At 39.2% G+C, this 24,201-nt stretch overlaps 2 protein-coding genes across 3 annotated transcripts in view, besides 2 other annotated features; both read left to right on the forward strand.

The window, feature by feature from the left end:
- The window catches only part of LRRC37A2 (leucine rich repeat containing 37 member A2), a 676,337-nt gene that overhangs the window by 351,790 nt on the left and 300,346 nt on the right, over positions 1–24,201 (forward strand). The gene's annotated exons all lie outside the window — the stretch shown is intronic.
- The window catches only part of NSF (N-ethylmaleimide sensitive factor, vesicle fusing ATPase), a 166,796-nt gene that overhangs the window by 133,913 nt on the left and 8,682 nt on the right, over positions 1–24,201 (forward strand). For both annotated transcript variants that reach the window (NR_040116.2, NM_006178.4), the window contains 2 exons: positions 1,968–2,034; positions 4,274–4,353. Coding sequence is in view for 1 of the 2 variants with exons in the window: in NM_006178.4 (NP_006169.2) it covers positions 1,968–2,034; positions 4,274–4,353 (147 nt within the window). In the remaining variant the exon portion in view is untranslated. The remainder of the gene's footprint in view (positions 1–1,967; positions 2,035–4,273; positions 4,354–24,201) is intronic.
- Positions 8,028–8,804: an enhancer, noted in NCBI's record as "OCT4-NANOG hESC enhancer chr17:44809975-44810751 (GRCh37/hg19 assembly coordinates)". NCBI's record gives its function as "activates a minimal SCP1, AML or CMV promoter by ChIP-STARR-seq in naive and primed H9 embryonic stem cells {active_cell/tissue: H9 hESC(naive and primed)}" and the evidence as "EXISTENCE:reporter gene assay evidence [ECO:0000049][PMID:30033119]".
- Positions 18,342–18,636: an enhancer, noted in NCBI's record as "tiled region #12503; K562 Activating DNase matched - State 5:Enh". NCBI's record gives its function as "activates a minimal TATA promoter and a strong SV40 promoter by Sharpr-MPRA in K562 cells {active_cell/tissue: K562}" and the evidence as "EXISTENCE:reporter gene assay evidence [ECO:0000049][PMID:27701403]".

Genomic DNA, 24,201 nt, shown 5'->3' on the forward strand with positions numbered 1-24,201 from the left:
TGCCTACCCTGTGCCCCCGTATCATCTTGTATTTCCCCTAGCCTAATAATGTCATGCTTTGTTATAATTACATGTGACTTGCTTCCCCAACTCTAACTTTTGTGAAAGTAGGATTATTTTTGTCTTATTTATTATCCTCTGCAGTGCCTTCATTAATGCTTGATACATAATAAGAATTCAAAAATATTTGTTGAGTGAGTGAATGAATAAGGCAGCACTCCAAGACTCAATCCTTAGGCCTTTTTTTCTTCTTCTTCTGCCATTTCTTCTTGAAGATGGCTTCCTCTGTCATGGTTTCAGCAGTCACTGCCCTGAGAGTGATTTCCATTCCCTGACTTCAATCAGATATCTCCAACTTCTCACTTAATATTTCTACTTGAATTTAAAATGTGTAAATTTATTCTTTTAGTAAATACTTCTTAATTACTCTCTAATAAGGCATTATATTAAATGATATGAGGATACAGAGGTAATTAAGACAGCACTTGCCATCTGAGGGCTTGCAATCTAGTATAATACAAAAATAGTACAATGAATCAATAATATATATACGTAATATACAAAATCCTGTGCCAAAGGAGAAGACAAGTGATTTATGGCAAGATGGAATTGGAACTTGTGTTGTTTCAACCATTGAACCTACAGAGCAGACATCATTACTGAATTCTGTTCTGTGCTGGGCACTACACATAACATGAACAGAATAAAGCTTTTATCCACCTCACAGTCCAGTGGGGAGACAGATAGCTTAGGACGAAAGGATAGATGGGGTTTAGACAGAGTGTGGGAGGGTAATTAGGGGGTAAAGGGATGGTGCATAGGAAAACGTTTTCACCAGAGGGGTTGACCTGATTAAATATCTGGAGAAATTGTCAGTATTTATGCCAGGAAAGAGGTAAGGAAGGAACTGAATCAAGATGGTCACAGTGAGACTCTATTATGGTAACTTAATTGTTAGGAATACTTTAAAAACCAAGTATACACAGGTTGTTTTTAAACCTAACATGAAAAATGGTTAATATCATGAGTTTGACTTTATTTCTGTACCTAATTATAAGTCTTCAATGGTTAAAAGATACCCAGGAAGGAATATATGCCATTCCAAGCAAGATGTTGGTGCGGGTGGGGATCGGGTTTACTATCTTGGTGTGCTGAGGTTGGTTACCAACCAGAGAGAGTGGGCTGGGATGCAGAAACTAATTCTTACTCATGACACTGATGAGATTTCCTGAGCCCCACCTGTAGTCTCTGGAATAGTACCTTCATTTCCAAAAAGGCTAGTCTCAAGGCCTTGAGTACTTCTATTCAACTTGCAGATAAGCTAATTCTTCTATCTGATTTGAAATTACTACATCCTTGCCAGGCTAAAACCGTTCCTTCACTGCTTAATTTCATTCTCATTTTCTTGACCATCTTAAGACAGTGCATTCATATCTTTTGTCTGGTTTTATACGTACATCTATCTGATCCTTCATACTCAACCTTTAATTCTTTTGTAAGCTCTTTTACCATTATGGTCTGATTTGAGTTGACAGAATTCTGATCTTTCAGTGTTACTTTTGCTTAACAGAGCCACAATTCTTATAGATAATAAAATGGCATCTAGTTTTATTTTACACATCTCTTGTGGCTCCATCTAGCTCTTGAGTCATTACACTAAAGTCCTGCTCCTGACACAGATACCAGAGACCAGTGTGATAGAAGTGATGGGATGTGTCAGTTGATTAATGATCAGCTAGTCCCCAGCCTGCCCAGGTGTGACACACACAGCTGTTAGTGCTGAAAACAGCCTTAGCCTGCTCTCTGTTCAGCGGTGATCCAGTGTGTCAATTCTAATTTATTGTAGTCCAAAGTGTTGGTGTTTTCCTGTGCTTTGTTTAGTATTGCTCAAGAAGTAACTAAACTTCTTGGAAATTGTCGTAACTGTGGAGGACAGTGAGATAATAAATGACTTTGTTTTCTTTCAGATCTTTGATGATGCGTACAAATCCCAGCTCAGTTGTGTGGTTGTGGATGACATTGAGAGATTGCTTGGTGAGTCCTAACTTCTGCTGTTGTATTATCTTTGCCACATTACAGCTAATATCTCAAAAGTTACAAGAGAAAATTAACAAGTATTTATAAACTGTAAAGCAATAGAAATACCTTTCTTTGTCTTACAAGGAAATATAATGTTCTCTCTTAAATAGCTGACATCAATGATAGTATTCATTTTAATATGCCCTGTGACTATAACACCATTATAAACTGCTTTCTTGTAAGGGCCCATGTCTCATTTTGTATCTTCCAGTGTGCCCTTGCCATAGTAAATGATTAGTAATTTTCATTGATGAGTATATCTGTTATTTAGGACCTCTGAGCTCAGAAATTCACTTGTGAACTTTGACAGAACTAATGAAAGAAGGGTTTAGGATCACAGAGAAATCTGCAAATTCACTAAAACACTAAGGGCAGAAGTTGTAAGCTCTCTGCACCTCAGTTTCTGCTCTTACAAAACAGAGACTATAATCCCTCTCTTGCTTATCCCACAGAGTAATTGTGAAGACAAAAATGGGATAATAAATCTTGAAAAAATTTTGTAAGTTAAAAGTGCAGTATAGTAATTTTTAAAATATGTATTAAATATCTCCTGTGTTGAAGTGCACTCCTACAGAATACAAACATGAAGAAGACTTGGTCCTGGCACTTAACTCATAAGAAATAAACTGCAAGGAAGGGCCAGAAAGTTGTTAATTTTATTTCACTGTAAAATTAAATCAGTCTGACATAAATTCATTACAACAATGGCTCAGGAAGGGGTAATACACTCTATTGAAATGGAAACCCACCTGGTGACTTAATAACATCTGAAAATACTACCCAGTGTCTGAATAATCCCTTCTTCTTTAAGCTGTCCATAATGGTGTAGTCGTGATTTCAAGCTAACTGTTCTTACTGCATTTTTCCCATGATTTTCAGACCTGCTTTTGGTCCTCTGTTATTTATTTTTTTAAGTTTTGGCAGTGTCTGTTATAAAGCAAAGCAGGTATATCTGTGAGGTCTCCATAAATTGATAGTGGGTTTTGGGTCTGCTAGGTTTGATACATCTCAGCCCAGTTTATGGGATGATTTCTTTAAAAGCTTTTAGGCACAAACTCATAGCTCTGTGTAAATTCCTTTATCTTAACACAATTGAGGTGTGTGGTCATAGCAACACTACCATGTCAGGAATGTGTGCCCTCTGAGTACATTTCACTGGTATGAATAGTTATCATCTGTGCATGCTTGCTCATTTATTCAATAAGCACTTGCTGAGCCCTTCCTCCTCTGGTAGAAGTATTAGAGTCTCAGAAAAAGACGCTGCTGCCTGTCTTTATAACATATGTTGGCAAATGTTAATGCAAAGTAGAATGTGCCATGTATTTTGGATATTCTGTTTTTTTTTTTATTTTTATTTTCCCTCCCACTGTTCTCATCAGGTGGATAGTCTGAAAATGGAGGGATCAGTTTTGACCTCAGGGGGCCTGCGAGTAGCTCTAAGCCCAGGGCAGAGGTGCATATGCAGTATGCAGAGAAAGCTAAGCAGGTGGCATTTACGCTGAATCTTGAATTATTGGTAAATGTTTAACAGGTCAGATGTTCTCTTAGAAAGTTATCTGTTCCTTACCATCTGAGGGCCAATCTTAGTGGTTCTGCCATTGTTTCCGTTTTATTGAAATTCCTTATTTTCCCCTTTGCCCATTTTCTAACATCATGTTTTAATATCAGTGTACTGAATGGCCATGGTTTGCAGTAACTTCTTAGAAATGCTTGGTAAATACACCTGGAATTTTTTTTTCCTTCCAAAATAATCCCAGAAAAAACATCTACATGAACTCAAAGTGAATATTTAGAAGCTTTTTCAAAAAATTTATAGAGCCGAGTACAGTGGGATTATGGCAACCTATAATCCCAGCTACCTGGGAGGCTTAGGCAGGAGGGTTGCTTGAGCCCAGGAGTTCAAGACAAGCCTGGGCAACATAGCAAGACCCTGTCTCAAAAAAAAAGTTACAGATAAGAGTTCTTATATTTTAAGCATTTAGGTTATTAGAGATATTTTTTCTTATTATAAATAGTTTTATGACTGTTATTTAAGACTGTTTACTCTTTAAATTTTTTTTTTCTTATTCTATACATATTCTGCTTATGTAGGGACTGTGTTTACTTTTGATGCAAAAAAAAAAAACAAAAACTGAATGTTTGGAATATGTACATGTGTATCAAATCCCTAAACATAATAATGTTTCTTTTCCAGATTACGTCCCTATTGGCCCTCGATTTTCAAATCTTGTATTACAGGCTCTTCTCGTTTTACTGAAAAAGGCACCTCCTCAGGTAAAATAATACTACTAATAAGGAATATTTTAACAAAGAGTTTTTCAGTAAATCGCATATAATGATACAATCTTTAAATAAGCAGGTTATCATAAACATAAAATTCTGTTGTTGAAAGGATTTTGAAAGGTCGTCCAGTCTTGACTTCTGTTTAAGGTAAATTATTTTATCAACAGAATTTTTCCATTCCTTTTCTGAAGAAATCAAAATCCCACAGTTTCTGTGTGGAATACAACAATTAGCATTGTATTTTGTTGTTTTGTAAGTTTTCCACCATATTACATATCCCTACTACCTCCAACTGCCAAGGGAGATTATGATATTAATAGAGAAGGCATTGAATATGTTCCCATATGTTTCATTTATAATTTCATGGGTTTTCCTAAAAATTTGTTTATGGGGATATTTAAGTTTATTTTCTTTGGGCAGTTAAAAAACTATTTTTAACAGATGATCTTGAGTTATTTTTCTTGGGTCATGTGGCACTTTTGAGGAGTGAATTTATAGCCAGGATCTTGATTCCTGTGTTTGCATTTTTACTGATGTGGCTATTAGAGACTTGTGATTTTGGTAGGTTAACAAATTTAAAACCAACCTATGAAGGTTGGTTAAATATGTTAAATTATGTAGAGGCTGCCAGAGCATGTTTGGCTGTGTCACAAGACATGAGTTCTCTTGATTGATTCTGCATGCTGTAACCTTGAAAAATGCCAATCAAAGGCAGGTACAAAGCAGTTAAGCACTGACTTGAAAAGCATCTTAATGTCTGTATGAGAATCTCATATTTAAAGTTAGAGATAGAAACTAATCTGTAAGGAAAATATTTACTCTTAAACTGGTGAATCTAATTTTTAATTTAACAGTTATATATGTGCGTGTATTTTGCACTTAAAAGTAAATGACTTGTCTTGGTTTTTCTGGAGTTTTTTTTTAACTTCTAAAATAATGAAAAGAAACATAACCTATAATAGTCTTGAAGATTTGCAACATATGTGTACTGTGGAAGGATTTTTAAATCAGCTTTTCATAAACCATCATTCCTAGTAATTGGAGTCTTAGCTTATACTAAGGGTGAAGTTAGAGAGGTGAGTGTATTTTCCCTTTCTCTGATTCCTGCAATATTTTCTTAAGTAAGTAAACGTATATATCTAAAGTTGCTGAAACAGAAATAATTATCTACATATATCATGATTCCTCCAATGTTTTCATAAATAAGTAAACGTATATATCTAAAGTTGCTGAAACAGAAATAATTACCCCCAACATCTACATATATTATGCACACAAAAAAACTTTATGTCAGCATATTAATTATAAAAACTATTAGAATGTGAGACTTTTTCTAGGCATTTAAATTTATCTCTTAAAATAGTTCTTCTTTTTTAGCTGAAAATAATTTATGCTAAAAGTCACTTGGGAGAAGGAAGATTAACTTCAGTGCTATCTTATACTTCTTGTTCTTTACATTGTTAAATACTATACACATTGATTTAAACAGAGGTACACCCCCTTGGCTGAGAAGCATTTGTGATCCAAAGTAGATACTAACAGAAATAAACAGAAACTATTAACGAATGATCTGCCACACTAAGATTTAAGAATAATTGTTTCTGTGTTGTAAAACTTATTGTAAGATTTTTGAGGGAAGGAACATTATCTTATGCTTTTAAATCTCACAGCCAATGGCATAGAGGCTTATACGTACATGCTTCACAAATACCTTATCAACAAAAAAAAATTTTTCAGTGTCTTTTCATTTTAGTGGGCTCAAGTGTTTTCATATTGCTGGAGTTTATATTTAGACAGGATATGATAAGAGTGAAAACATTCAAAAATAAGTAAAGTTCAAATGGCCAACAAGTATAAGAAGAGGTACTCAACATCATTAGTCATCAGAGAAATGCAAGTCAGAACCAATAGTGAGATACCACTCATTGCATACCTGCTAGAATGGCTATCATCAAAAAGTCAGGTAATGACAAGCGCTGGTGCAGATGTGGAGAAATTGGAACCTGTATGCACTGCTGGTAAGAATGTTCCTCAAGAGGTTAAGCATAGAGTTACCATATAACCCAGCTATTCCACCAAGTATACACCTACAAGCAATGAAAAACATATGTCCACATGAAAGCTTGTATGTGAGTATTCATAGCAGCATTATTCATAACTAAACATTTATCTGATAAAATCTAGTATATCCATATAATGGAATATTACTCAGCAATAAAAAAAAGTAGTACCATTACATACTACAACATGAATGAACTTTGAAAACATGCTAAGCAAAAGGAGCCAGTCAAAAAGACCACATATTGGATGATTCCAGTTACATGAAATGTCCAGGACTGGCAGATCTATAAAGACAGAAAATATATTTGGGATGGCCTAGGGCTGGGAGGGGAGAATGAGAAGAGTGAGAGGGTCACTGCTAATGGGTATGGGGTTTCTTTTTGGGGTGATAGAAATGCTCTAAAATTGATTTTGGTGGTGTTGTGTATATCTGTGAATATACTAAAATACTGAATTGTACACTTTAAATGGGTAAACTGTGTGCTCTGTGAACCATATCTCAAGCGATTACATTTTTTAGAAGTGGTTTAGGAGCTACTTAAATGATGAAAGGAGACATAGAGTTAGAAGTGAGGGGTGAGCATCCAAGGTACGTGGCCCAGCTTGGGAGAAAGAGGAATTGGATCATTTAAAAAGAACATGGAGTGAATTTATCTAAGGACTGAAGAGGAAGAATATAGAAATATGTAAGAAGTAAGAGATGTGGTTGCCTTAGTGATTGGAAATGGCAGGGGTTCTCTCTGAAGGGAATACCATCTGGTCATTAATCTGAATTTGGTGACTCTGACCTGGACTGCCAGATTACCTGCAGTATACATGAATCAGTAACAGGATAAATTAATATTTGTAGTATTTCTAGTTGGCATGTATTTAACAAAATAAAAATGTGCTTTGTCATACCACCTTGCTTTTTAAAATGTTTATATTCTCTCAAGAAAATAAGGGGAAATTTTCAGGCTGATCCAAGTGTTAAGAATATTAGTCATTGTAAAATGGAAGCATTCACTTTGTCAAACCATTAGCATATAGTTTTTTCAGATGTTTTTAATTAAATATTAAAGGTATATTCAGCTAAATATTGTAGAAATGCATAGAGTGATAGAAAAATATTTATTACTGGTAAGAAAACAAAAGTTGTGAGCATTTTTCTTTAAAAGGAGGAACTATACTTATATACACTACAGTAATCATATCAGTCACAGAATCCTCAATTTTGCATTTGTTGTATTTCCAGCTTTCACACAGAAAAATTGTGTGTGCATGTGTGCACGTGCTCAAATAAAAGAATCCCTTCAGGGGCACTATGTTGTTATGTATCCAGATATTCTCTTTTCTCCTTCCACCCCTCCCCCACCACCCCCTCCCTTCTTGTAAATTGGCTTATTAAAACTGGTTCCCAAGCCCTCCTTTTTTCCCTTTGTGATTGCCTTGGTCTTGGATTTTCAGTGTAGAACTAAAAATTCAAGTCAGATTTCAGTTACTAGGATAATTTTCTTTGAATTTTAAATTTTTCTAAGTAAATGCATAGATTTTTAATGAACCTGGTATTCAGTGGATTTGCTTTAAATTTAGCTGCAGAGTTAATTTCATGATTGATTTATTAGCCCTTTGAAAGTATAAAAAGTGGTATCTGCAGTTCGTGAAGAGTGAAAAACATCATCACATTTTGTTTAGCATCTTTTTAAAACCAATTAAAAGCTTTTCTAAAATGGATTGAACAGGAGAAAATAAAACATGTTCCCTAGGTCTTTATTTCAATCAAGTTTCCCTGTGTTCTGCAGGAGAAGAGATCGAGAGGGGATAGAAAAATTGAAAAGGGCTGTCCCAGCAGGGAGCCAAGCCGGAAAAAAGGGCTTCTCTGAGAACTCAGCAGCAGCAGCTAAGAAAGCTCCCAGCCTGCTTCATCTACATGCAGAGTCACACAAGGCATGGGGGTGCTCACTGTCACACAGAGGTTTCACATGTGCTTCCCTGCTGATTCCTGTGAAAAGCTAACAATTGGCTTGGAGGGTAAAAGACCACTGCAGTTCACCCTCCCTGAGCTGGACGTACAATTTGTCCAGTGTTAGGAAATGTCCGGCTTAGCAGTGAGAGGCTTGAAGACACCCCTCCTTCCAGTGAGATTCCTAACGCCGTCTCTTTTACTTGATGACACTGGGGCTCTTTTCAAGTTTTGCAGATTTATGGAAGTTGAGGGGAATGTGCTTTTCAAGATCAGGAGGATGAAAGCCTTGGTCTTAATGTCAAGGAGGAAGCGGTAGTGAGTGGTAAGGCCAGGTAACTCTTCCTGCAGCCTGCAGGACCAGTGGCTTGATTTTTCCTCATAGATCTCTTCTGCCACCTTCTTTTTTTTTTCTTTTTGGGAGACAGAGTGTCTGAAAAGGAACTCCTTGGGCTGTAAAATGACATGATTCCCCAGTTTCCTCAACAAGTGTGAGAGTAGTTAAGCCTATTAACCTCACTGTTTAATGCTGGGTTTGACACTTTTGTGCATCAAATTGGAAAACCTCATCTGTATGTAACAGGGTAGCCTCGTAATTTATGGAGGAGCAATCCTTCCTCAGTTCAGTGCTTCCCAACCTTTTTAGATTATGGTGCATACAAAATGATAACATCTGATGATACACTTGGGTAAGTGGATGAGGCCACTCACAACTGGCCAGGGCTCTAGCCTTCCCAACAGCTGGCAGGAATTGATATCTTAGTCCAGGTATAACTCATTTGAAGCTCAACGATTGGAAAACTCTTTGGAAACTTTAAACTTTTACAAAAGAAGAATTACCACTCCAACGTCATAGCAGTATTACTGAAGTAGAACTCAGACCTAACAGTTATTAGTGTTCTGGCTAAATTTTATGATGTTGTTGAGAATAGTAACTTCCTCGCTGCTCTGACACCTAGGAATATTACCTAATAAGAGAGAAATACAGCTTAAAGCTTGGAGGACCTAAGGTGTGGACCAATAAGAAACTGTCAGCATTCTCAGGATGGGGACTTGGGTAGACACACTTGTTTCTGCATGAGTTTTGTTTTTAACATCAGCAGTCTCTAGACAACATTGCTTTCATGTAGTCCTTACATGACATCTTAGCAGTCTTACTTCAGATATGGTTATAGGACATCTTGGTATCTTGATAATATTAAGCAACTCTTTAGGCTTTGGGTTGCTTTAGTGAAATAAGCAGATAATGGAAGAGACTCCAAATCATGCAGGCCTAAACATGAGTATCTCTCCATCTATTTGTTCAAAATTAACTCTGGCTAATGACTATGATATGACTCAATAAGATATATAACCACTTTAGGAAAGAGGCTTAGTCATTTTGCCAGACACATTAATTTTAATCCACTGATGTGGTGACTTTTGCATTGGGCTTCATTTCTTTTATCTAAAAAAAAAAATGATGCTTGACAGTTTAGTGGCCTTCTTAGTAAGTCAGTGACATTAGATACCTACTATATTTATAATACTCTCTTTAGGTATACTTTGCTTAGTATAGTAGATTTTCTTGGAAAGTCCTTTGTAGATTGAACATGTGTGTGTGTATATATACATATCTCTGAGGACAAAGGAAATTTCCAGAGATCTGTGTTCTTGTTTTCTGGACAGAAAGATAATGTATAGTGAATGTATAGTGATCAACTAAGATAATGCCTAGTGAAGCCCTTTGTAAACCTGTGGACTACATAGATAGACAGTATTAAAGAACATATATATATAGTACATATATATGTAGATTAATTTCAAATGTATCAAAAACAGTGAAATAGGCCAGACATTGTGGCTCACGCCTGTAATCCTAGCACTTTGAGAGGCCAAGGCAGGAAGATTGCTTAAGGCCAGGAGTTCGAGACCAGCCTAGGCAACATAGTAAGACCAGTCTTTACAAAAAAAAGTTAGTCGAATGTGGTGGTGAGCATCCGTAGACCCAGCTATTCAGGAGGCTGAGGCAGGAGGATCGCTTGAGCCCATGAGTTCAAGACCGCAGGAAGCTGATTCTTACCACCGCACTCTAGCCTGAGTGATAGAGCAAGACTCTGTCTCTAAAAACAAAACCAACAAAAAACAGTGAAGTAAATTATTTTATAAAACATTGCTACAGATATCTGCTGAATAAAATCAAATTTTCAAAATAGGGTTTTGTTTTGGTTTTGGTAGAGCACATCTATAGTAGATATTAATACCAGAATAAATTATAAGATATATATGCCATTTTCTGATAACTCAAAATTAAATATCTAAATTTTAATCATCAGAGAAATGCTAATAGTGTTGAGACGAAATATTTTTTCATTGCTAGAATGTATTCTTCCAGATCCATTGCCTTAAATAAGTTACTGTGGCATTACATTAGCTTTTGAAAGGTGGGGATTATAACGTCGTAGTAGTCCATGGGTGCCATGACTCTAGTTAAGAGCACCCTTTCTGTAGAACTTACTCTTTGTATTGAACTTGAGGTTTAAAAAAAAAAAAAAGAAACCTATGTCTTAGCTCAGATATCATCTGGCATTATAGCCTTGAACGTCCCTTAATTTCTTGGTGTCTATTTCTTCATCTGTAAAATAGAGATAATTCCTCATGTGTTACCTACTCTGTTGAGGGTCAGCTAAGATAATGTGTAGTGAAGCCCTTTGTAAACTGGTGGACTACATGAGCTGTCCAGGCGCAGTGGCTCATGCCTGTAATCCCAGCACTTTGGGAGGCTGAGACAGGTGGATCATTTGAGGTCAGGAGTTCAAAACCAGCATGGCCAACATAGTGAAACCCGATCTCTACTAAAAATACAAAAATTAGCTCGACGTGGTGGTGTGCACCTGTAATCCCAGCGACTCGGGAAGCTGAGGCAGGAGAATTGCTTGAACCCAGGAGGCGGAGTTTGCAGTGAGCTGAGATTGTACCACTGCACTCCATCCTGGGTGGATGGAGTGAGACTCTGTCTCAAAAAAAGAATTGCCTTTGGATAGTCCACAGAACCTTTTCAGCTTGTAAGATAGGAAAACTGAAGAACGTATAATAACTGCTATATAGAGGAAGTTTCCATAGGAAGTGAGTTCAGAGCTCCCACTTTGGAATGCCTGAACCCAACTTCCCTCATTTGCAGTACTGGGAAAAGAAACCTGCTTCCCCATCTCTCATTCACTGAAATTTAGAAGCTTCCTACATCCTAAGACAAATACTCTTGTCTGGGGATTAGGGATTCCTGTTGTAGAAAGAAGTAGGAAGTGGAGACAGGAATTGCCAAGATCAGTAGGCCACCACCAGGTCACACTTGTCTTCAGCCTCCAGGGACTGGCCCACCTGCTTCCTTTCCCTGCCACCACCTGTTGCTTGTGGCTGAAGTTCCCCTTTTCTCCTAACTCATGGTGCAACAAAGTGGTGCTTCACAGTTTCTTTCCTACCTTTCTGTCCCAGAAACAAGAATGCAGATCTTTGGAGATTTCCTGTGTCCTTGGGGATCTCACAATGGCCAGAAGCCCTGGCCCTCCCTCTACTCCTTACCCTGTTAATCTTGGATGGTAGGATTATAGGTGATTTCTTTTTTATTTTGCTTTATTGTTTCCTGTACTTTATAGATTTTCTACAATAAGCATATGTTACTTTGATAATCAGGAAAAAATAAAAAATGTGTATACAATTATTTTTAACTTAGCAGTATAACTGTCAAAAATTCCTTAATTCCATTGCTTTGGTACTAATTTGCTGCTAACCACTAGGGTTAAATGAGACTACCTTTGTATCTAAGCTTGTCTATGTATAATATATTTTTAACCTTGTTCTTTTTATGACTTAAGATTTAATTGAATATCTGAAATATGCTGTGGGTTTTGGAGTAAAAGTGTGCAAGTGCCTCCTAACTCTCACAGTTGTCCTGGGAAACCCACCTGGCACTTGGCTCAGTGCCATGCTCCCCATCTAAACTTACCATGGTTGAATGCCAGTGTGACTAAAGTTGACCAAGGTAGATGGTAACGATTGTCTTAAGCTTCATTGAAAGGAGATCGGAAGTTTCTTTTTCACCAAAAATATTTCTTTTGACATAGAAGTTTAAAACATTTCTTTAAGGAACATCTGCTTTTATTAGATGTACATTTAAGAAATCCTTCTCAGTATAGAGATAAAAAGATGAATAAGACATTGTACCTGCCCTCAGATGGCTCATAGTCCAAGAACACTGTTCAATTGTGAAGTTTGTGCACAAGGTGGGCACAGGTCAAGTAGCAAATGAAGGTTAACATCCAGCCCACATGCTGCCCACCAAGGAGTCCACCCTGGTTTGGGACTGAATCTGCCCTGAGTAAGGTTACCAGATTTAGCAGATAGGAATATAGGATACTTAGTTAAATTTAAATTTCAGAAAAACATCACATAATTTTTTAGCATCAGCATATCCCATATTTTGGTCAGACTTATACTCAGGTATTTCTCTAGCAACCCTAACGCTGAACAAGAGGAAGAGGGTGCCTTTTAGCTCATACGAGGTGCTGGGGCTTGGGGAAGGAAGCAAGGGTGGCTGCACTCACCCAGATGATTGCTTTTTTCTAATTTGTTCACCTAGGGTGTGTGTGCGTGTGTGTGTGTGTGTGTGTGTGTGTGTGTGTTTTCTGATCCATGCAGAAGCTAACTGGTGTCCCTGTCACAATCCAGGGTGGGAGAAAGATGTGAAAACATGATGCATAGAGTTAGGTTTTATATGTTACGTGGTTCCAGTGGAACATAAAGGAAAGTGTGGTCCATTTTACCTGAGAAGATGTGCAAATCATTCACAAATAGTAGTTTCGGATCCTGGTCTTGAAAGATGAGTAAAAGGGAGATTTAGTCAGGGCCATTGTGCCATGCTAAGGAATTCAAGCGCTGCAGCAATGGAGAGAGAAGGTGAAGGATTTATGTATGCTAAAATTAGCATATTATTATTATTATTATTATTATTATTATTATTATTATTATTAGAGATAGGATCTTGCTGTGTTGCCCAGGGTGGAGTGCAGTGACGCAGTCTCAATCACTGCAGCCTTTACCTCCTGGGCTCAATTGATCCTCCCGCCTCAGCCCCTGGAGTAGCTGGGACAACAGGTGCACACCACCACACCTGACTAATCTTTATATTTTTTGTATAGACAGGGTTTTGCCATGTTACCCAGGCTGGTCTCAAACTCCTGGGCTCAAGCAGTCCACCCACCTCAGCTTCCCAGAGTGCTGGGATTACAGGTGTGAGCCATTACACCCAGCCTAAATTTTTTTAATTAACGTACAATATGATACTTGAGAATTTGAGGATATGTTCTGTGTACTTATCTTAGGCTTCATATGGCATAGTTTCACTGGAGGGAAGAATAGAAATTCATAAGAAATTATAGGCTTCATTTTTTCTAAATGACTGAAGCTTAACCTCTTTAAATATCAATTATTATACTTTAGCCTTTTTTAAGAGGAAAAAAATTGCTACATACATTCTTAGTGTCTGAAGCAAAGTATAATAAACTCTATGTTAATGAATAAGGACCATCATAACAAACCATAATTGATGGGTCAGTATTTTCATGGGTGGGACTCAGCAGGAACTGTTGGAATATACAGGATTCCGTCCTGGTGCCTGTTAGGTAGATACGGTGTGCCCTGTTTGTTGAGTTTTTTGTACCTTTTCTTTTTTTAGTGGTTTTGCTATCAGCTGTTACTTGCAGAATCCAAGTGAGTTGTGTCAGCTGGCCTGCCTCTGATGACTCCTTTTTCCAGTGTGCTGCTTTCATCTGCTATAAATTAAGGCAGGCAACCACCAGGATTCATGAGCTGTTCATACAGTAAGAGAACTAAACTGTGGTTGGGCGCAGTGGCTTACGCCTATAATCCCAGCACTTTGGGAGGCCAAGGCAGGAGGATCACTTGAGTCCAGGACTTCTAGACCAGCCTGGGCAATATGGCAAAACCCCATCTCTACTAAAAATACAAAAAAGTCCAGGCACGGTGGCTCACACCCGTAATCCCAGCACTTTGGGAGGCCAAGGCAGGAGGATCGCTTGAGTCCAGGACTTCTAGACCAGCCTGGGCAATATGGCAAAACCCCATCTCTACTAAAAATACAAAAAAGTCCAGGCACGGTGGCTCACACCCGTAATCCCAGCACTTTGGGAGGCCAAGGTAGGTGGATCATTCAAGGTCAGGAGTTCGAGACCAGCCTGGCCAGTATGGTGAAACCCCCGCCTCTACTAAAAATACAAAAATTAGCCAGGCATGGTGACAGGCGTCTGTAGTCCCAGCTACTCAGGAGGCTGAGGCAGGAGAATCGCTTGAACCCAGGAGGTGGAGGTTGCAGCGAGCCGAGATCGCGCCACTGCACTCCAGCCTGGGCAACAGAGCGAGACTCTGTCTCAAAAAAAAAAAAAAAAAAAAAAGCCAAGCATGGTGGTGCACACCTGTAATTCCAGCTACTCGGGAGGCTGAAGTGGGAGAATCACCTGAGCCCAGGAGGTCGAGGCTGCAGTGAGTGGAGATCATGCAACTGCACTCCAGCCTGGGCAACCAGAGTGAGACCTTGTCTCGAAAAAAACACAAAAACATAAAACTGGGCTGCAGTGAGAGCTGGAGAGGCCTTCCAGAGAGCAAGGCCCCATTTTGACTCCTGTGGGCCCCTTCCTCTACTAAAAAAAAAAATAAATTTTCCACCTGTTGGTACAAAGCTGAATATATTACTATATTAATATTTTCTTCCACCAAAAAGTTCTTTTTTTCTGATTTTTTTTTTTCCAGGAGTGCAGTGGCGCGATCTCAACTCACTGCAACCTCTGCCTCCCGGGTTCAAGCAATTCTCATGCCTCAGCCTCCCAAGTAGCTGGGACTACAGGCGCACACCACCACACCCAGATAATTTTTTGTATTTTTAGCAGAGATGAGGTTTCACCATATTGGCCAGACTGGTCTCAAACTCCTGGCCTCAAGTGATCCGCCCTCCTCAGCCTCCCAAAGTGCTGGGATTACAGGCCTGGCCTGATTTTAAAAGAAATTAGAATAATACTTTCATGGGTTCCTCAAAGTTTCATAGGCCCTGGGCACTGTGTCTAGTGGGTAAGTTGTCCTTGCCTGTCAGTTTTAAAGTTACTTGAACCTCACATTGTTTTTTCAGTACTAGGAGTGAGAGGATTTTTGCTTATTTCTGGTTCTTGGCTGTGCTCTGGATAGTTGAAATTGTTTAGCAGATTGGCCTCCAGATAAGTAAGGCATTATTATTGGATATAGTAAATTCATGTTCTGGAAGTTTGGGGCCTAAAGGAGCAATGTGGGCTCTGTAGGGTTAAATGAGGGCAGGGTATGGTGAGAAGGCAAATTTTGAAACATTGTGAACATAAGAGACAATTGCAAATTGGCAGAAAACTGGAGAAAGCATTTTAATAAACAAATGCTATGGATAAAAATCACAGAGGTAAAAATTAAATTAGAAAGGAGAATATTGACCTGATTAGAACACAGGGGTCAATTTAGGGTATATCAAGCTAAAAGCTGAGATAGGTAGGGAAAATCTACTGTGGATATAAGAGTGGGGAGTTTGGATTTGCTGATTAATGTGTGGTCATCTTAGTTAAGTTTCTAATGAGAGAGCATGCACAGAACCCTTCCTTTAAGGTATTAAGAATACTATGGCATGGTCAGTACAACTTTATCTTTTTCTTTTTTTTTTTTTTTGGACACCAAGTTTTGCTCTTGTTGCCTGGGCTGGAGTACAATGGCACGATTTCGGCTCACTGCAACCTCCGCCTCCTGGGTTCAAGTGATTCTCCTACCTCAGCCCCACAAGTAGCTGGGATTACAGGCATGCACCACCACGTCCAGCTAATTTTTGTATTTTTAGTAGAGATGGGGTTTTACCATGTTGGCCAGGCTGGTCTTGAAATCCTGACCGTTGGTGATCTGCCCGTCTCAATATCTTCTTAATTTATTTAACCTTTTCTCCTAAGAGCACAGAGGTCATTATTTCTAGGTAATAAATCTCCCTAACTCAAATTAAGAGATCAGCCATTGCTGATATGGGGCTTGTGGGGGCAGGGGCAAGAGTGGACCCCAAATCTAGTTTAAAATTACACAAATAAAAACAGTAGACAGCAAAGCATAGTGAAAATAGCAATGAGGCCTGAACTGTAGTTTCAGCTCCCTCACTGGACATGAGAGCCTCAGACAGATCACTTTACCTCTCACCCCAGGTTTCTCATCTGCAAAATGAGACAGAGAATGAGGGGGTTTGGGGGAATGAGGTAATCTTTAAGAGCTGCTCCCAATGTAAAATCTGATGATTCAGTGTCTTTTTCACAAATTGGAATTAGATATCCTTTAATATCATGAAGTCTGCTTTTGCCTATAGTATTTTAAATTATTAAGGGTTCAGTTTCTCGTTTCATATTCAGTCTGTATCATGAATTCCCCCCCTTATTGTCTTCTGTCCTGCTTGCAGCACCATGAGGATGGTTACAAAGAAGTAGACTAAGAATTTGCTTCAGGGTAAAATCTAATGGAGAGTTTAAGTGTAGTTGCCTGCCTAGTTGTGGCATGATTTATTTGAAACATCCTTCCTTTGGTATTCAGCTTAAACATTTAACTGCAAAAAAAAAAGAAAAGAAAAAGTTACAGGCATTTAAACAAGAGAAATCAGAAATGCATGCAAAGAGGCCCAATTCCTCTCCCTTCACTTGTCTCTGGTTGCTTTTAATGGTAGTCGATCTTTTCCCTTGGTTTGGGGAAACCAAGAGTTGTAGGAGATGTTAATAGTACTTGGTTTTTGTTTTTGTTGTTGTTGTTTTGAGATGTTTTGCTCTTGTTGCCCAGGCTGGAGTGCAGTGGCGCCATCTCGGCTCACTGCAACCTCCGCCTCCCAGGTTCAAGCGTTCTCCTGCCTCAGCCTCCTTAGTAGCTGGGATTACAGGCATGTGCCACCACGCCTGGCTAATTTAGTAGAGACAGCATTTCACCGTGTTGGTCAGGCTAGTCTCCAACTCCTGACCTCGTGATCCACCCGCCTCGGCCTCCCAAAGTGTTGAGATTATAGGTGTGAGCCACTGCACTGGCCAATAGTACTTGTTATCTCACTAGCTTAGGTTAATGACAGCTAATGAATCTTATCTTTCCTCTGCTAGAGAAGTCTGTGTTATCCAGTCAATAGCTAATCAATTGATTAAAAGAGATAAGCCAGACTTTGGCACGAAGCATACATGCCGTTCATTCTAGATTATTTTCTTTAAAATTTGTTGCTATCAACACTTGGGGCTCAGAGGTGTAGACTCTGAAATGATAGTTACTTTCCTTTTGGACACTTAATATAATGTGCATTTTTCTAGGACCAGAAAGTAATAATGAAGGAGTGATCTGCTACCCTTGAAAGCTATACTGGGATTATCATTCATTCAGTGCATATTTATTAACTTTGTACTTTGTACAAGGCAGTATGCTAGCCCTGGAAACATCAGTAAAGCCAAACCGACTTAAGTCCTGTCCTGATGAAGGAGAACTAGCAAGAAATACAGTAAATATAGTAAGTATATAGTATGTAAAAGGCGATCCAAACTGGAGGAGGGAAAGGGCAGGATAAGGGTTGGGGAGTTGCAGTTTTAAATGGAGGTATGTGGGGATTGAGTTGGCCTGTGGAAAAGCTGACATTCAGGCAGGTCCTTGACTTGGAGGGAAAGGCCTGTGTGGCTATGGAAGGGAAGAGCATTCCAGGCAGAGGAATCCTCTCTGTGTGCCAGGCATGCCATGCTGAGTACTGCAAGGGCGCAGATGGATGATACGTGGTTTCTACCATCGGGGAGTTGACAGGCTAGAAACAAGATTCAGGCTTGAAGATAAATGCAGAGAAGCACTATGGCAAGGTAGAATTTTTCTAAGGGTCTCTGTTGAATAATACAAGCTAAGAAAATATGAAAAATTATTCCTATTTCAAGAATGAAGCCAGGTTAAGTGATAGACCAAAGGACCTCTACCAGGAAAGCTTCTTACTCTTGGCTCTGAGCCAATTTCCTCCTCAGAAGTTGCTGCCTCTCCCTGAGGCCCCACGCTGCCATGAGTCCTTCTGACTCTCTGTGAGTCACCCCACTGCCATGACTCCTTCGGAGGGGGTGTCTGACCTCTTGCTTCAGGCCTCTTCTGGGCCTCACAGTAACCCTTGTGAAGCTGAAGATGGGAGCTCTCATCTTCCCTAACCCAGAGCCAACCTTGGCCTCTCTGCGTCATTTGCTGCCAGTGCCCTGTGTTTGTTTTTGGGAAGAGAGGGATTTTCAGGCATCCCGTCCCTCACCCACCTGACCTAACCGTATGGATTCCTGACACCACAGGCAGAGGACTATTCTTCAGGTTCCTCTGAAGCCCACCTGTTCAGATGCTTGCTTCTTTTCCTTCTTGCCTGTTCTGACTGTGATGACAGAGACCCCGCCTCAGGAATCTCCACCTCACACTCTATTCTCATAAGTAGGTAGAATTTTCTCATCGCATATTTATGGTTGAGGAGGAGATAGATGCTGAGAAGTTAAATAATCTACCCCAAATCACACAGCTGTGAGTGATGGGGCCTCTACTTCTGTTGCACCAAGCTACCTGTCCATCAGGGGACTTGCCTCACCATTGCTTTCTGCCAGCCCTGGGCTTGCCTTAAAAAGGACATCATATGCATAAGACACTGGTTAAAAGGTGCAGCATGGTCCCTGGAGATGCTCACTCTTACAACTGGCCTGTCCTTGGGGCAGCAGCTCCTCACAGGCCCCTAAGAGGTAGACCTCCTGCCTGTGGCTGCCAGAACCCTCTTCTCCATCACAGGTCTTCCTCCTCAAGAGCCTTCTCTGGTTTCCTGTTGCTTTTTATATTAAATATTTCCCTTAGTTTAGCATCCCGAGTCTGCCTTTTGCTGATTGTTCCCTCCCTGTGTCTGCAGACAACTTCGTTTTCAGCCTTGGTGCTCTGTCTCAGCTGCTTCTACCACACACATAGGATTTAGGCGCATTCAGGACCTGTCCCTTCTTTTCAAGGGCCTTGCCAGTGCCTACTTGTTGTCATTGTCTTTGCAGTACTACGGATAACCTTCCTAGATAACCCCCCTCCAGGAAACTGTCCCCATAAACCGGGTGCCCTCCGCCATGATTAGTTTGTATTTGCGAGTGTGTTACTTGGTTGTGTTCCCTGAATATTTATTTGGTTTTCCCAGCTAAGTTGTAACTTATTTGAAGGCACAAACCAAATCTCATAATTCTATTAAGTACCTAAAAGGAGTAAATTATTGTTAATGCTCCAATTGGCTAATGTCTATTTCATATTTTACTTACCAGATTTACAAATGCTTAATATTCTGAAATATTTCACTCTCATTTACAAAAACATCAGATTCTACTAAGCAGAAAATAAAGTTTAATGCCCCCAGCACATAGCAGTTTTGAGTTGCACTTTTAAACTCACTTCTTAATCCATTTCAGGGTTTTCAATTGTTCACAGTTAATTCTTCTTACCAAGGGTGTATTACACTTGCTCAGCATTGAATGATATGGAAAGAATGGCCTTTCTTTCCTGCATAACTGACTTTACTTTTGTTCATAGGTTGAAATCAGCCCTTCCATTTCACTGCAGTATTATATTAGTGGCATTTTTATTTAGGGAAAAAAAAAAGCTTTCTTCCACTTGAACTTTTGTTACAAATCAGTTTATTGGGTCCAATCAATGGGCAAGACCTATGAAAGGGTGTGGATTATCTGGTTGGTCCTTTGTGTGGCAAAAGGCTTAGATGCTGCTTAGTACTCGCTCATTCTTCATCATGTAAAGAAGTGTTTTTTTTGAAGGATCAACACCTGACTGAGCCCTGCCTTTTTCATGGAAATGTTTTCACCTGAGTTGCTGCTTATGGTACTAAGAATTAGTTAACTAATACTTATTTAACCTTGGAACAATGTTTATCATAATCCGATTGGCAGATAGTCATTTTACTTAGGCTTTTTCTTTATAGCATCAGGACTAGCAAATCTCAGTAAAGAGTATGCTGGGAGCAATTTCTTTTTTCCCAAATAGGTTATCACTCTGTGCTTTTTTTTTTGCTTTCCGTCAAGGGGCATGTTTGGGCACTGTGGACATTAAGACTGGTGGCCACACATTAGGAAGGTGGAGGTCCCCTCTTGGGTTGAGCACCACTTTTGTTTTTAAAGCTGCATCCCCATTTCATGCTGCTGGCAGTGTTTCCCTTCAGACGAATCCCATGCAATGTATCACTTTAATATATTCGGAGCTGTTTTTCATGATAAAGCTTCCTTATGAGCACTACCACTAATTAATACACAAAATGGCCCAGCACAATTTAATAATTTGGTAATGTTTTTCAATGTTTTCTTAAAGATGACGCTTTACAAGTCAAGACCCAAACTTGCCTGGGTCATGACCTCTTTGCAGTTTTTGGAGTCTTGTTAAACAAGAAGGAAAGCAAAACATAAATTAGCGTCTCCAGTATGGTTGCTCTACATTTCCCAATCTTTCAACACTTTGAAGAGCATAGTCACTGTTAATGTAAGAGAACATCTCATGAGGAAACTGGCAGCGATTTTAAAAGTCCGGCTTTCTGGAATGAGTAAGAAGCTTCTTCCTCAGTGCCACTGTTCTAGGGCCAACATTGTCCTTTGTGAGAGAGGAGCAAGATGAGGAAGTTTGCATTATGGACTATGGAACATTAAAAAGCTAAAAAAGAGAAGTAACAGTTACCTTTAATCATACTGAGGATGTATCAGCATGTGTGGCCTTTGGCATCTGTTAGCCTTTAGGGCTATGTTCCCAAGTTTGCCATTAGAATTTAGTGTTAAAAAATACTTTAAATATAACAGCACCACTTTTTGTTATAGTAAAAATGTATGTCTTTACTCGATTGTAATTACCTCAACACCCAGCTTTTGTTGTTATTTTGCCCTTGGACTTAGGTATTTCTGTTCCTCTGGCTTAGAATGTCCTTCCCCTTCATCTTCCTAATCAACCTACTCATTCCTTACGACTCAACTCATGTATCATCTCCTCCAGAAAAAGCTTTCTCTGCCACGTGTTTCTTCCCTCTACCTGACATCCTTGTGCGTAATACCTCCACCTTTCCATATTGTACTATAATTATCTATTTTGCATCTGTCTTTCTGTGGAAGGTCTGTTGCATATTCATCTAGGAACTTGGTAAATGTCTGATGATAAGCATTTGATTTTTTCCTAGTTGATTCCTCAAATAATAATAATGATTACCCTTTAATCTGAATGCTCACAGGTGTACTTCTATCTCATATTCTATGCGCAGTCATCTGTTAAGCTAATGGCTAATTGTACCAGAGGGTCTCAACTTTGTTTCTTTGATCTGCATTGGTTTATGGTGGTACCTTGCCCATTCTTGGCACAGCAGGTGGATAAAAACAATGAGTAACATTGAGAAAGGCTAATGTGTCTTATTGACAGTAGTGGTATAATGTTTACCAAACCCAAATTGAAATTATTTTGGTTTCTTAAAATCTTTTCCCGATAGCCCATTTATTTTAATGTTCTGAATTTCCAAGATCTGTGTATAGGTTCAATGATTAGTCTTTACTGAAGACTTATCTATGGACTGAGTGTGTATTATAAATCTAGTGACATAAGTTTAAAACTTATTCCTTTTTCATTTTCCAAGTAAACTTTTTTAGTAATGTGTTTTTCTTTGTAAAGACAGGCAGTATATGATTTAGGTCTGGATCTGGTTTCCAGTCTTGGCTCCATCATGTATTGGTTATTTGGCCTTGAACACAAATGACTTGCCTTGAACACAAATGACTTATATCTGTGAGATTCAATAGCTTCATCAGTAAAATGGGGATAGTAGTAGTACTGAATTTTCATGATTATAATGAAAATTAATTGAGAGACTGATCTGGAGAGGTGCCATACTACAAAGAGGATTAAGTGGAGGTGTCCCTATTAAATGGCGAGATACCCAGAAACATTACCCTGTTGACTCCAGTATGCTGGCAACGAGGCTTTATAGTCTTTGGGAAGGAGACTGGAAGATTCTTCTCTGGGAAAAATGTACACATACTGACCTTTGAAGGACCCCCAGTAATCAGCCAGGTCTTACCTGATCATCCTATAGTGAAGCCCCCCGACACAGTATTTCCATTCATAGTTTAGCTCTTAAATGTGAATTAGCTATCCAGCAATCACCAGACACTTGAGGAAAGCCTCCAGAAAACAAATTGGAAAAAGGGGCAAGTCATAGGAAACAGACAAAACAAGGAACAGAAGAAAACATCATTTTTGCAATCTATAATATTCACAAGTTTGTTTTTTGAGACAGAGTCTCACTTTGTCACCCAGGCAGGAGTGCAGTGGTGCCATCTCGGCTCACTCCAGCCTCAAACTCCTTGGCTCAAGCGATCTGCTCACCTCAGGCTCCCAGGTACCTGGGACGACAGGCATTTGCCACCACACCCGGCTAATTTTGGTATTTTTGTTGAGATGAGGTTTCGCCATGTTACCTAGACAAGTCTCAAACTCCTGGGCTCAAGTGATCTGTCCATCTCAGCCTCCCAAAGTGCTGGGATTACAGGTGTGAGCCACCGGCCTCAGAGATCTAAAACAAGATATTGTATTTTAATTGCACAGGATGCAATTAAAAAAGAAAACATTCAGAAAACAAGAAGAGCTCTTAGAACTGAAAAATAAGTTAGTGTAAAGGTTGGAAGATAAAATTGATACTAACCTGAAAAGTATTAGAAAGAGAAAGAAATAAAAACTAAGAGTAAATAAGAAAATTAGAAGATTAGTCCTAGAGAATCAGTATCCAACTAAGAGGTTCCCAGTGGGTGATACAGAGAAAATGAATGGGAGGAAATCTCAAGGAAATGTATTTCCTAGAACTGAATGATTGGAATTTCCAGTTTAGAAAGAAGGAATCTAGTGCCAGCAAAATGAGTATAGAAAGAACCATCTTAGGATATGTAGTTTTCAAATTGCAGAACATAGGAATGAAGAAAAGATTCTGAAAGTTTTGTATTAAAAAGGTTAGAAACAAAAGATCAAAGATCAGATAGCATTTGTCTTTTAGCCTTCAGTGCCTTCAAAATTGTGAGAAAAAAATTATTTCTAACCTTTTTATTTATTTATTTATTTTTTTGAGATGGAGTTTCGCTCTTGTTGCCCAGGCTGGAGTGCAATGGCGTGATCTTGGCTCGGCTCACTGCAACTTCTGACTCTTGGGTTCAAGCATTCTCCTACCTCAACCTCCCAAGTAGCTGGGATTACAGGCACGTGTCACCATGCCCAGCTAATTTTGTATTTTTAGTAGAGATGGGGTTTCGCCATGTTGGTCAGGCTGGTCTCAAACTCCTGAACCTCAGGTGATCCACCTGCCTCGGCCTCCCACAGCACTGGAATTATAGGCATGAGCCACCACACCTGGCCTCTAACCTTATTTTTTACAACTAGCCAAACTATTAAGACAAAGGATACAATAGTAAGGCTAGAATAAAGGTATTTCCAGACATGCAAGGTCTTTAAAATTTTACCTCCCTCACTCTTTCTGAGGAAGCTTTTGGGTACATGCAGCATAGACAGGGGAATAGATGAGGAAAAGGAAGGCTGGGATACAGGGAATCTAACAGAAGAGAGAGGAAAGCTCCAGAACTACAGCTGTGCCCCAGGCCTAGAGAGTCACCGCTTCAGATTGAACTGTGAACACACAGGACTCCTGGAGGGGAATTTCTTCAAGAACACAACTTTAAACTATGTAATGTGTTTGAACATACTGAAAGGAGACTTGTGATTGTTTTAGA

The sequence above is a fragment of the Homo sapiens genome, chromosome 17, assembly GCF_000001405.40.
Source record: "Homo sapiens chromosome 17, GRCh38.p14 Primary Assembly".
In the NCBI taxonomy this organism is placed as follows: Eukaryota; Metazoa; Chordata; class Mammalia; order Primates; family Hominidae; genus Homo; species Homo sapiens.